The 13,272-nt window shown below is 53.7% G+C and overlaps 1 protein-coding gene across 2 annotated transcripts in view, besides 3 other annotated features; it reads right to left on the minus strand.

The window, feature by feature from the left end:
* Positions 1-7,069, minus strand: part of TSPEAR (thrombospondin type laminin G domain and EAR repeats) — a 213,680-nt gene extending 206,611 nt beyond the window's left edge. For both annotated transcript variants that reach the window (NM_144991.3, NM_001272037.2), the window contains exon 1: positions 6,930-7,069. In NM_144991.3, coding sequence (NP_659428.2) covers positions 6,930-7,011 — 82 coding nt within the window. In that variant the 5' untranslated portion in view covers positions 7,012-7,069. The remainder of the gene's footprint in view (positions 1-6,929) is intronic.
* Positions 4,764-5,504: an enhancer, noted in NCBI's record as "H3K27ac-H3K4me1 hESC enhancer chr21:46129182-46129922 (GRCh37/hg19 assembly coordinates)". NCBI's record gives its function as "activates a minimal SCP1, AML or CMV promoter by ChIP-STARR-seq in primed H9 embryonic stem cells {active_cell/tissue: H9 hESC(primed)}" and the evidence as "EXISTENCE:reporter gene assay evidence [ECO:0000049][PMID:30033119]".
* Positions 5,505-6,245: an enhancer, noted in NCBI's record as "H3K27ac-H3K4me1 hESC enhancer chr21:46129923-46130663 (GRCh37/hg19 assembly coordinates)". NCBI's record gives its function as "activates a minimal SCP1, AML or CMV promoter by ChIP-STARR-seq in primed H9 embryonic stem cells {active_cell/tissue: H9 hESC(primed)}" and the evidence as "EXISTENCE:reporter gene assay evidence [ECO:0000049][PMID:30033119]".
* Positions 6,259-7,029: an enhancer, noted in NCBI's record as "H3K4me1 hESC enhancer chr21:46130677-46131447 (GRCh37/hg19 assembly coordinates)". NCBI's record gives its function as "activates a minimal SCP1, AML or CMV promoter by ChIP-STARR-seq in naive H9 embryonic stem cells {active_cell/tissue: H9 hESC(naive)}" and the evidence as "EXISTENCE:reporter gene assay evidence [ECO:0000049][PMID:30033119]".

The raw sequence follows: 13,272 nt of genomic DNA on the forward strand, positions 1-13,272 counted from the left end.
AACAGGTTTCTCAACACATGAGACAGAACACACCAGACTTCCAAGGGGAACACCTGGATGGAGCTGGTTACCCAGATTGTTCAACACCGAGGGGCAGCGGCTTGAGGGTCTTTCCACGAAGGCTTGGATTAACAAGAGGAGCAGAGGTCTCTCCAGGATGGGCCCACAGGAAATTTCCAGAAGTCTACCACGGGGACCAGAAGAGGAGCCTCGGTGGGTGACAGTGGCAGGTGCTGCCCACTCAGCCATGCGCTGCCTCCACACCCATCACTGGGGAGATGTTTTCAGGAGAAAGATGCAGCAGCTCCCACCCAGTGTCACGTCACGGCCCCGGCACGCCATCCACGGACCCTGGATGGAGCCCAGCTGCCTCCGGGAGCGCAGTTTAACTACAAAGGAGCCCTGGCTGCCCGCCCCGCCCAGACGCACTGACCTGTTGTTCTCTGTGGCTGCTGATGGCCCATCCCCAACCACTGGTGACTCTTCCCTGGGGCCCCAAGCTCAGCCCCTAACCCCCTGTTGCTGGAAGTCAGGGACCCCAAACAGAGAGACCGGCTGAAACCATGGCAGAAGAACGTGGATTGTGAAGATTTTATGGACATTTATTAGTTCCCCAAATTAATACTTTTGTAATTTCTTATGCCTGTCTTTACTGCAATCTCTAAACATAAATTGTAAAGATTTCATAGACACTTATCACTTCCCCAGTCAATACCCTTGTGATTTCCTATGCCTGTCTTTACTTTAATCTCTTAATCCTGTCAGTTGAGGAGGGTGTATATCATTCCAGGACCCTGTAATAATTGTGTTAACTACAAAAATTGTACAGCATGTGTGTTTGAGCAGTATGAAATGTGGGCACCTTGAAAAAAGAACAGGATAACAGCAATTGTTCAGGGAATAAGAGAGATAACCTTAAACTCTAACCGCCGGTGAGCCAGGAAGAACAGAGCCATATTTCTCTTCTTTCAAAAGCAAATGGGAGAAATATCGCTGAATTCTTTTTCTCAGCATGGGATATCCCTGAGAAAGAGAATGGGCACCTAGGGGTAGGTCTCTGAACTGGCCCCCCCGGGGCGTACCTGTCTCTTATGGTTGAGACTGCAGGGGTGAAATAAACTCCAGTCTCCCATAGCACTCCCAGGCTTATTAGGAAGAGGAAATTCCCACCTAATAAATTTTGGTCAGACCGGTTGATCTCAAAACCCTGTCTCCTGATAAGATGTTATCAATGACAATGGTGCCCGAAACTTCATTAGCAATTTTAATTTCGCCTTGGAGCTGTGGTCCTGTGATCTCGCCCTGCCTCCACTGGCCTTGTGATATTCTATTACCCTGTTAAGTACTTGCTGTCTGTCACCCACACCTATTCGCACACTCCTTCCCCTTTTGAAACTCCCTAATAAAAACTTGCTGGTTTTTGCGGCTTGTGGGGCATCACAGATCCTACCAACGTGTGATGTCTCCCCCGGACGCCCAGCTTTAAAATTTCTCTCTTTTGTACTCTGTCCCTTTATTTCTCAAGCCAGTCGATGCTTAGGAAAATAGAAAAGAACCTACGTGATTATCGGGGCAGGTCCCCCGATAACCCCCAGCTGCAGATCGAGGCCTAGTGCGAGCACAGGTCCCCCCAGACCCTTCCCAGTGCCCACCAACCGGCGGCCTAGGCCAGGTAGAACTGGCAGCGCCTCCCCTGCTGCAACACCAGGCTCTGGTAGAAACTTCAGAAAACATGCACCGGCAAAACCAAGGAAGGGTGGCTGCGTCCCGGGTTCTTCCGCGCAGCTGTGTGTACACGCATGCACACACCCACACGCACACACCCACGTGCACACCCCCATGCACACGCACCCACTTGCACGCCCATGCACGCACACACGCGCGTGCACCCATGCGCACGCACCCATGCACACACACGCGCGCACACACCCACGTGCGCACCCACATGTACACACCCACGTGCACACACCCACGCGTACACACCCACGCGCACACACCGCTGTCCCCAGCCGTGCAGAACGATCCTCCCTGAGTCCCCGGCTCCGACCCACACGCAGCACTCGCTAAACGCTTCCCACGCAGTCGTTTTGCTGGGTTGCGCTTCACCCACTTCTCAGAGGGGGCGGCCGAGGCAGAGGTGTCGGGGATCGAGCAGCTCCGGGCCTCAGGGGTCGCCCCGCCACCGTTTTCCTTTCCCAGATGCTGGGACGGGGGCAGGGAGGGGCTCCCCAGGCTGAACCCGACTAGGTCACCCTAGAAGCGAGGCGAGCTTCTCTTCTGTTTTTCTTCGGCGCCCCTGAGCCCCTGACAGTGCCCAAGCTGCCCATGGGATTGGATTCGCCAGAGCCTCCTACGCAGACCCCACCCAGGGCCAAAGCCAACCCCAAGCCCCACCACCTTGGTGGTGTGGGATGAAAAGTGAGCCATCGAGAGATGGGGTCCCCCCACCCCCAACCCCTCCAAGGACAAAGGCGGGCTGGGAAGCACCCGCTTTCACGTCCGCCCCTGCCCGGCTTTCCTAGCGGAATTGGCGCCGGCATCAGTTGGGGGTTGTGGGATCAGTGAGGAATCCCGTGGGGTCGCCTCCATTTATCAGTTGTGTGGGGTTGGGCGAGCACCCCTAGCCCCAGCCCAGGCGATCAGGGCGCGAAGCCCACTGGACGCGGATTTGGGATTAGGACGGGGGTGACAGCCAGGAGGACCGCACCTGCCCTCCCCACTCCTGCCGCTCCACCCCTGCCCCCACCGCAACACCAAGGTCTCCACCAGGAAGATGGGGGTGGGGAAAGGACGCGGGGTGGGGGGGGGTGCGGGGAGAGAGGACACAGGGTCGGAAGGGTGAGGGGTAGTGGCAGAGGCGGAGGCCGAGGCCACGCAGCTGCGGGGCGCAGGGAGGGGCAGAGGAGGGGCGTTCAGATGGGAACCTAGTCCAGACCCGTCGGGGCCCTCGTGTGCGGCTCGTTATCCTGGAACCAGAGAGGCTGGAGACCCTTGGCTTGTCTGGAGCGGAACCGTAGTGTCCAATAGAGTGTGTGGGGCTCAGCCCTAAAGCTAAACATTCTTTATTTCCTGATGACCATGGGGGCGGAGCGGGGGAAAAGCCCTGGCCTTATAGTTTAGAATTTTATAAAAGGAAAGGCGTGGCCACTGACAATTTGCGCTTCAGGAGTCCCAGAGTGACCGCCTGGCTCGGAGCAGGGAATGAGGGGGTCCTTAACTCTGAGATTTGTTTTCTGAGAGACAAAGGTGATGGGTGAGGCGGCTAAGCCTCTGATTCTCTATAGGTGGCGGTCATTCATTTCAGAACATGAATGGATTCAGTAAATAAACATGATAGAAAAATGCCACAAGCCCTAGGCCCATTGGAGTGGACTGGACAGTCTGTTCCCAGTGTGTCCCTCAGCCTCGGTCCCCCACCCTTCCCGGAGCCCTGGGGGTCACACACATCCCTCCTGGCTGCCTAGCCTGTGCCCCCCGATTCCCCCCCTCCCCGCCCCGCGCGTGCACACACACACACACACACACACACACACACACACACACCACACAGCACGAGGCGACAGAGATATGAGAGAGAGCGAGCGAGAGAGGACGGGAGAGAGAGGGAGTGCAAGTGTGCGCTGGGGGTAACCCGTGCATGCATGCATTGGGGGTAACAGGCTGGAGCTCAGATCCCTCCCCCAGCCCCCAGCAGGGGGGACTGCAGGCTCCTGGTCTGAGTGGGGAGCTGGGCCCCCTGGACAGAGGACTGGGCTGCGGGGTCAGGAATGGGCACACTTCCTAACTGCAGGACACTCTAAGGGCTTTGGTCATGCACACGCAGCCAAGAGAAGGTGTCGCTGGCACACAGCCTTCCAGGAGCGGACTTGGAGACCTCGCCAAGGACCAGGACTCCCCAGCACTCACACTCCCTTAGGCGCTGAAGTCCAGAGGACAGAGGTTGAGGGCAGAGCTCCTGGGAGCACCAGTGGAAGTAGGAGGGCTGGGCTGGAAAACCTCCCCCAACCTCCTATTGCAAAGAGGCTCCAGCCAGCAGCCTCCACACCCCAGTGATCTTTTAAGATGCAAATCTGCGCCATCATTTATTTCCTCAGTGCCTTCTCCAGCTCCTGGGATGCACACTGCCCGTCCCCAGGCCCAGAGACCTGACCACCCTCATTCCTCCCTCAGCCCACCCTGGGGTCTCTCCACCAGCTGACAGCCTTCCTGCAGTCCCCTCCCCGAATGCTGCTCCCTGAGGCCCTCCTGGACACCTGCAGGGCAGGCACAGCCCGCGGGACCTCACAGCACTTGCTCCGGGCAGAGCTGCAGTTTGGCCAAGTTGCCAGCTCCGTGTGGGCAGGGGCCCTGGCCTGTGGCTGCCACATCCCGGGTGGGGGCACGGCCTTTCCTGGCGTGGATGCTGAGCAAACGTAGGGGGAAGGGGAGTGAATGAGGAGAGCCAGGTAGCTCAGGGGCTGAGGCCTCACTGAGCAGGGTCCCGCGTGACCGGTCCCCACCGCTGACGGTTCCTGGGGTAACACTCAGGACAGGGAGAGGCAATGGAAAGAGACGTGGCCGCCCTCGCATCCTGCAGCTCCCGCACTCCCAGCCTCCCAGCCTCCCACCCAGCCCCCCAGAGCCCACCAGTGACCCCGCCCACTGGGTCCTCAGATGGCTCCCACGGGATCTCCTGCCTTGATCTCCTGTCCACATGGAGGTGAAGTGGGTTGCTCTGAATGAGGGGTGCCGAGCCTAGGGCGCAGCCCACTCTCCTGGGTCCGCAGCATCACGCAGCCCGGACCACAGGCTCCTTACAAGAATCGGAAGGGTCCCTGCAATCGCCCTTCGCACTGAGGCTTCCTACTGTGTGGTGTAAAAACACAGGCTTGTCCTCCCTTGCTGCCCACGGGGCTGGAGCCGCCTGAAAATCCCAGCCCACAACTTCCCCAAAGCCTGGCAGTCACTTGAATAGCCAAATGAGTCCTAGAAAGCGAGAGACGAGAGGGGAATGAGCGCCGAAAATCAAAGCAGGTTCCCCTCCTGACAACTCCAGAGAAGGCGCATGGGCCCCGTGGCAGACCCGAACCCCCAGCCTCGCGACCGCCTGTGACCTGCGGGTCAACCACCCGCCGCGGCTCCACGCCGTGGGCACAGACTCAGGGAGCAGGATGAGAAAGCTGAGACGGCGCAGCCACGGCCCGGTGCCTTCACGCGCACAGCGACACAGCCCCAGCCAGCGGGGCCCACGCTAAGGCGGAATCCCACAGAAGCCTACAGAGCGAGCGCGCGCCTGTGCTTCCCAAAACGGAATGGAACCAAGGTGACTTCTACAGAACGATCTGAAGCCCTGGCTGGCCCTTATGCTAGTCTCTTGGGAGCGTTCCAAATGCAGCTCAATATTACTTACTTGACTTTTATCTTTCCTCCCTGGTTCGTGGTATTTATAACTGGGTCATCTTTTAACTATTTGCAACGTAGCTTCAGGGGAGAGGGGGAGGGCTTTATAAATAACCTGTATTATTATTATGCAGGTTGATTCTGTTCCCTGAGCTAAAGGGAACATGAAAATACATGTCTGTGACTCATGCCCCCCCACCCCCACTCCAGGGTGTGCTGAGGAGTCTCTCAGCTGCCCCGGGGTCCTCGAGCAGGGGAGGGAGAAAGGCTGGCGCTGCGCCCTCCATCGCGTGAAGCCAGGGGATTTTGCTCTGCGACAAGCTGACTTGGCTCTCGTATTGTTTGCAGAATCACCCAGTTCCAAGGCAGTCCCTGCGGGCAGGTGCAGCTGTGCGGGAGCTTCAGTCCTGTCCCCAACACCCAGGCAGTAATGGTTCCAGCACGGAAGGTCTACCTACCTCCCACTGCACAGCCCGAGGGCTGTCCTGGAGGCACAGCCATCCGTCCCTGGGTGGGCAGGCACGTTTATGACCCCCACCCCCACCCCCACCCCCCACGCGAGTCAGCACGTTCCATACTCGGGTGATCGTGCTCATCCCCTGGTCATGTCATCGGGATCTGAGTGCCATCCGAGCAGAGAGCTGTGGCCCGGTGCCGGGGGTGGACTTCATCTATTCCAGGGAACCAAGGATGCATGATTTGCAAACAAAACCAGAAGCGCAAGCCATCTCCTCGCCTCCCCTGATAGCCGTGCTGCGGAGCCTGAGTGCTGGAGTCACTAATTTACTGTCCAGTAACTGAGTTTCTAGCGACCAGGTCTAGTTGTCGTGTTACTTTATTAAATTTTGGTTTGATAAGTAAAATCCCTCAGTAGAAACTCTAGAAAAGTATTAGCGTGTCATGGTCATGAGCAAGCCAAACAGCCTTTCTAAAAGGTGGGAAGGAGACCCCCAGGCTTCGCCAGGACCCCCCAGTGAGCCAGCCCAGGGCTCTCCACTCAGACCAGATTACGCCCCAAAGAACCGAGCCCTTCACTCCAGAGGTGGTTGTGTTTGGGGCTGTGTCTGTGTCTCCAGCTTTTTGCTCATGTGGGGAAGGAGCAGGGCCGGTGTGGCCCTTCGCTTTGCTGAGTGCAGGCTGGGGGCACCTCCACCAGCTAAGGAAATGGCTCGTGCACAGTAGCCTCCCGGGCTGCTGCGACTTCATTCTTCATTCCCAAAGCAGGTGTCAGCCTTTCCCGGGAGGCCCAGCAGGTAAGCACTTGTGGAGGCCCCGGTGGCTGCTGGTTAGCTCTTGAAGCTCGTCCCCACCCTGCGTGCGTTCTAAAGAGCCGCGTTTCTATTGCAACTGCCTGCCCTGCGCTTTCATCTTCCCCACCTGTGCTCCTCCCGCCTCTGCCCATCTCCACAGGGTGCTACCTGCCAGTCCTGCCAAAGCGTCCTCGGGCACCGCGGCTTGAATCAGTGTTAGAAAGTGGCATTTGTGACTCGACACCCCTCCCAGCTCCCCGGCAAGATACCCCCGCCCGAGTTCCCATGCCCCTGCCTTACCTGTGCAGGGCTCCCAACCCTGCGTGCCGTGGCCGGGGGCCGCCAGGGGCAGCACAAAACACAGACTCAGCAGGGCAGACATGAGGGGCTTGGGTGCCAAGCTCCATCCAGGGCTCCGCTCAGCCTGCAGGGAAGTGGCTGCTCCTCAGACGTCTGCGTCAGCCTTTCCAGGGGCGGCCGCGGGGCCCCCGGGGGTCACTGCGACGGCCACATGCCAGCGGCCTAAGGCGGGGACAGAGGTGGCCCTGGCGGTCGCAGTGGGGAAGCTTCTGGTTGCTGCCTGCGGGAGGCAGGTGGCCCCTGGCAGGTTGGGCTGCAGCCGCTGGTTTATCTCTTCATTTCCCTGATGGGCTTGGGCCCTGCGTGCAGGTGACAGGTGATAACAATCTCGGCCCGGCCTGGGATTAGTCGCTGGCAAAGCACACTTTCCAAAAGGAAAGACAGAAATAGATCGTGCTGCGGAGAGCTGAGAACAAGCCAGAGAAACTTAGGAGACCCGTTTCCCTCAGGCGCAGGCTCCCTGGGCTCACCGCCTTTTAGGACCAGGGGCACAGGCGACCATGGCAGGCCGGGAGCGGGTGGGGCGGGTGCACTCTGGCTGGGGGTTTGGGCAGCAGGTCCCCACAGTCTGCTGGAGGGTCCCAGAGGCAGGTCGGGGCTCTGCTAGGGGGTCCTAGAGGCAGGTCGGGGCTCTGCTGTGGTGGGGAGGGGGGGTCCCAGAGGTAGGTCCTGTGCTCTGCGGGGGGTGGGGGGTGGTCCTGGAGGCAGATCCCAGGCTCTGCTGGGGGTCTAGGCGGCAGGTCCCGGGCTCTGCTGGGTCCCCCGGCGGCAGCGGCCGTCCATCCCCAGGAGGGGCTGGGCTCCCTCGGAGGGCTTTTTATCTGGTGCCCAGCCCTCCCGAGGGTGTGTGGGTTTGTCAACTGTTGGGTTTCAGGAATTTCCCTCTGGAGGGAAGTCGGTCCTTAAAGGGAACAGCTAATGAGAAGGAGTGGGTGAGTGTCCCTCAGGGAAGGGGCACGGCCATGGTCACTCATCCAGAGCCGAGGACCCTCGCATCTGACCTCTCGACACTGCAATGGGCATGCCACTCGAGGGGAGCAGCTATTAACTAGAAGTATTCTTTTTACAAAAGTGCCCTGCCCCCCTACCCTCTCCAAACAGCACTGAACGCAGCATTCTTGCAGAAATCTCCAACGCAACTGGGTGCTGCGTTTCTGTGCCTGGTGTGGAGGCCCTGGCAAACTGGTCTGAGGCCGATGGCTTTCCCTGGTTCACAGGCCCACAAAGTGCACACACTCCTGCTAGTTTCAGAAGGAAGCCCCCACTCTGGGACCTCTGACACAATGAGTTTTCCAAGAGCATAGACCCTGTCATTAGGGCTTGTGGAGAGAGACAGAGATGGAGGGAGGGAAGGAGAAAGGGGCCGAAGAGAGGGACAGAGACTGGGGAAAGACCTAGAGGGAGAGGGAGAAAGTGGGGAGGCACAGAGAGCTCCTGGGGCTCTGGAGGCTCTTCCCATAAACAGCCCCTGCGATGGGACAGGCTCATTCTGTCTCCCTCTCGCTTCCTCTTTTACCCGGCCCTGCCCCCAGGGATATTAATTCATAGTTAATATTAATTCACAGATATTAATTCGTAGTCCTATTTATGAGGCTTGAGTTAACTGGCATCATATGAAGGGAGGTTGAAGGTCTCCCATTATATGTGACTCCTCTTCCAGCACCCAAGTGAGCCCTGGGGTGGGGTGTGTCTCCCTCACCCCCCAGGACCCCCTGCCAGCTCCGGTGGGCATGCAGTGCCAGGACAGAGGCTTCCTGAGTGGGCTCCCCACCCCACTGGGGCTCAGCAGCTGGAAACGCTCCACATAGCACCATTCCTGACAACCCTAACCTAATGAGGGACGACGTGGTTCCTCAGAGGAGCGAAAGGCCTGATCGTTGTGTAAATGGAATAAATGGAGTCTTCCTCTTTTGTGTCCCAATCCATGAGAACTTTGTCCTGGGCCAGGCCGCTCCCAGGCCAGCTGCGGGTCACAGTGGCCTCTGAGACCACGCCCCTGAGGGGATGGGGACTCCCCCCAAATGATGGGCAGGTGGCACTCCAGAGCTAATTTAAACAATCACAATTAAGCTGCCTTGAACCCTTCCGGCAAAATTTTTCTTATGTTACATTTGATGCAGTAGCACTAGTAATAGCCTCAAAGATAACTAAGGGTGAGCCAGTGGAAATCCTCCTCACATACGAAACTTCACAAAGATGTGCTGAGCGCAGGAGGAAAGCTCAGAGTTCCCTCCTCTACAGCTCCCTGTGTGACCCTGGACAAGTCACTTACATTCTCCAAGGTTTAACTTCCACGTCTGTAAAATGTGCCTAGGAGGACACATGTGGTAGGGCTGTCCTATAAATTAAGTGATAGCTATAACGTACCTAAATCAGCATTTCTGGAACCACGACCCAGGGAACACCAGCTCCAAAATGCTCGATGAGAAAAAGCAGGTGCATTTGCAGGTGGACTCCACAGCCCCTTCCTCAGGGACACAAGCTTGGCTCACCCACGCGGAGCTCTGAGACATCAGTGATCAGAAGCCTGCTTAGGCTGGGCGAGGTGGCACCCGCCTGAAATCCTAGCAGTTTGTGAGGCCGAACTGGGAAGATTGCTTGAACCGAGGAGTTCAAGACCAACAGTGACAACATAGTGAGCCTCCATGTCTACAAAAAATTCTAAAAATTGGCTGGACGTGATGGTGTGCACCTATAGTGCCAGCTACTCAGGAGGCTGAGATTGAAGGATCACTTGAGCCCAGGAGGTGGAGGTTGCCGTGAGCCATGATCATACCACTGCACTCCAGCCTGGGAGACAGAGGAAGACTGTCGAGAGAGAAAGAAAGAGGAAGGAAGGAAGGAAGGAAAGAAGCAAGGGAGGGGAGGAGGGAGGGAGGCAGGGGAGGGGAGGGGAGGGGAAGGAGTCCCCACCCAAATCTCATGTCAAATTGCAATTCCCACATGTTGAAGAAGGGGCCTGGTGGGAGGTGATTGGATCATGGGGGTGGTTTCCAATGCTTTAGCACCATCCGTCTTGTGCTGTCTCATGATGGAATTCTCATGAGATCTGTTTCTTCAAAGGTATAGGGCATTCCCCTTTGCTCTCTCTCTCTCTCTCCTGCTCCACCTTGGTAAGATGTGCTGGCTTCCCCTTCACCTTCCGCCATGATTGTAAGATTCCTGAGGTCTCCTAGCCATGTTTCCCGTTAAGCCTGTGGAACTGTGAGTCAATTAAACCTCTTTTCTTCGTAAATTACCCAGTCTCAGGTAGTTCTTTATAGCGGTGTGAAAATAGACTAAGCAAGAAAGAAAGAGGAAAAGAAAAGAGAGAAATCCTCCACATCATGTGTATCAAAGTCTCATGGAGACGAATCCCCAGAACCCACTAAGAGAAATGCATGTGCAAAGAAGAAAGCATGTCCCTGCCATAACATCAGACATCAGAACTGAGCTTCACTCCCGAGAAGCAGGTTGGGTAAGTGCTGCATTGTTAACAAGGGAATTCACGGGGCACCAGGCCCTCACAGCATAGGAAGGAACGGCAGCCCATCCCAGGTCTGCTAACTCTGCCTCCAAACGACAAAAGAGAAAATGTTCCAAGAACTTCCCCCAAACACATCCTGGTGCAGGCTGTCACTCAATTTGTCTGCTTCAAGGGAAACAGAGACGATCAATAGAAGAGGAGGAGGGCTCCATCTATCCTCTAAGGACACAGGTTGTTAATCAAGTCAGATCAGTAACAAACCCCAGGAGGTCATCACGGGCTTCATCAAGCTGCAGAAGTAACCCTTAGCGTGTCATTGTTTGGCCAAAGGCGGCTGTGAAGTGTGTCCATGTCTTTAAATATTCAACATGCCCCAACCAGGGAACAATGCATTCTCCAAGAAAACAAGGAACAGAGCTCAAAGAGAAACTGAAAATGATAACTTTATGTTACAAAAATAACACTCTTACATTCACTCCTCCAGTTTTGTGTTTTATTAAACTAAACCATCACTTCTGTGATCTATGAACCCCAGAAGGACTTTGTATTTTGGTTTTTGTTGTCTTTTTTAGAGATAGTGTCTTGCTCTGTCACCAGGCTGGAGTGTAGTGGCAAGATCATGGCTCACTGCAGCCTGGAACTCCTGGCCTCAAGTGATCCTCCTGCCTTAGCCTCCCAAGTAGCTGGGACCAGAGAGGCACATACCACCATACCCAGCTAATTTTTAATTTTTTTGTAGAAATAGCATCACTATGCTGCCCAGGCTGGTTTTTAATAATTTAAAGACACAAAAATTCTTCCAGGATACACCATCACTTGGTATATAATGACCACTGTTGTATGACATTTGAAAAGGTATCTAAAAAAAAGAGAAGGCACACACGTGGTGTTTGACAATGAGTTTAGATAGACTGGGGAGTACTTGGCAAGCCTGGACAATGAGCATTAGCCAACTCTCTGGGTGATATGGCCTGGCTCTGAGTCTCCACCCAAATCTCATGTTGAATTATAATTCCCAGTGTTAGAGGAGGGACCTGGTGGGAGGTGACTGAATCATGATGGTGGATTTCCCCCGTGCTTTTCCCGTGGTAGTGAGTGAGTTCTCAGGAGAGCTGATGGTTTAAAAGTGTGTGGTGCTTCCCTCCCTTGCTCTCTCTCTCCTGCTCCACCGTGGTAAGACGTGCTTGCTTCCCCTTCACCTTCCACCATGATTGTAAGTTTCCTGAGGCCTTCCATTCATGCTTCCTGTTAAGCCTGTGGAACTGTGAGTCAAATAAACCTCTTCATAGATTACCCAGTCTCAGGTAGTTCTTTATAGCAGTGTGAGAATGAACTAATACACTGGGGTTATATGCTGTTGGGCCAGGCCATCCAAGGCTGGGCTCCCCATCATTGAGCAGTTGGCTCCATCAGTCACTGAGTCAACTGACCAGGCACAAGTGAGGTCCATTGTCTCCAGAAAATGCAGGCTAGAATTCCAATTTGAAAGTCATTTAGATCTCATTAGTTATTTAATAAGAGAATAAGAGATTATTTTCTCACATAAAGAGTTCTCTTTTTTTTCAAACAAGAAATACTGTAGGTCTTTTATATGACTAAGAACAACATAATTATTAATCTTGACCTCCAAGGAGAGGAAATTTTGGCTCTTAAAATCTAACACTAGAATCTGACCCTTGACCCATTACATTAGGGTTCCCATTTATTTTTTTTTTCTTTTGAAGAGATCCTTAAATAGTAGGGTATTACCCTTTGTCTGCTTTATCCTGATTGCTTCTGTGTGTGTGTGTGTGTGTGTGTGTGTGTGTGTGTGTGTGTGTGTGTGTGTGTGTGTTTAGAGATGGGGTTTCGCCATGTTGCCCAGGCTGGTCTTGAATGCCTGAGCTCAAGTAATCCACCTGCCTTGGCCTCCCAAAGTGCTGGGATTACAGGTGTGAGCCACCACGCCCTCCCAAAGTGCTGGGATTACAGGCATGAGCCGCCACGCCTGGCCTGCTTCCCTTTTTTGGATGCTTTGTTTTACCTTGTCATTTTGCCAGGTGTTTAAAATGTTCATTTAGTCAGCAATATTTTCTTTGAGACTTTATGGGTCTTAAAATACAATTTTTATTCTAATGCTCACTAAACTTGGAGACAATTTTTGAATTACAATTTTTAGACTTTTTTGCTATTGAATTGTATGTGTCTATTTAGATCTCTCTTCCATCTGGAATGTGATTTTGCATATGGAGTGCAGTGAATCTAACTCTGTTTCCAGAAAGTCATTATGCACATTCCATTTATTACATACTTCTTTCCCACCACCTTGAAATGTCACATTTATGATTAATTAGGCTTCTATATATACTTGGATCTATTCCATTAATCTTGGCTCTATTCCATTAATCTTGGCTCTATTTATCTCTGTCAATTTCCTTTGCCAGCATTATATTATTTTAATAACAGTATTTATAGTAAGGGTTCATACTGATAATATATGCATTAGTTTCCCTTTTCAAAAATGTGTTAGAAATTATAACATACTTACTCTTCCACATGGACTTTAAAAATTATTGGTTTCCATCTGCACCTCCCAAATCAAAATCAAACAAGGAAAAAACACTATAGAAATACCTATTAGAATGGCAATACCTCCATAGATTAATTTGAGAATGGTGGACATTTTTATGATATGAAGTCTTCCCGCTGAAGATATGTTTATTCCAATCTTCAATTATTTTTTTAAATTATAGTTATGACTGTAGAGGTCCTGTATTTTCTCTGTAAAGTTCTTCCTATAAATTTCTTTGTGATTTCATCATTATTGTAAACATATTC

Source organism: Homo sapiens, chromosome 21 (genome assembly GCF_000001405.40).
Source record: "Homo sapiens chromosome 21, GRCh38.p14 Primary Assembly".
NCBI lineage: Eukaryota > Metazoa > Chordata > Mammalia > Primates > Hominidae > Homo > Homo sapiens.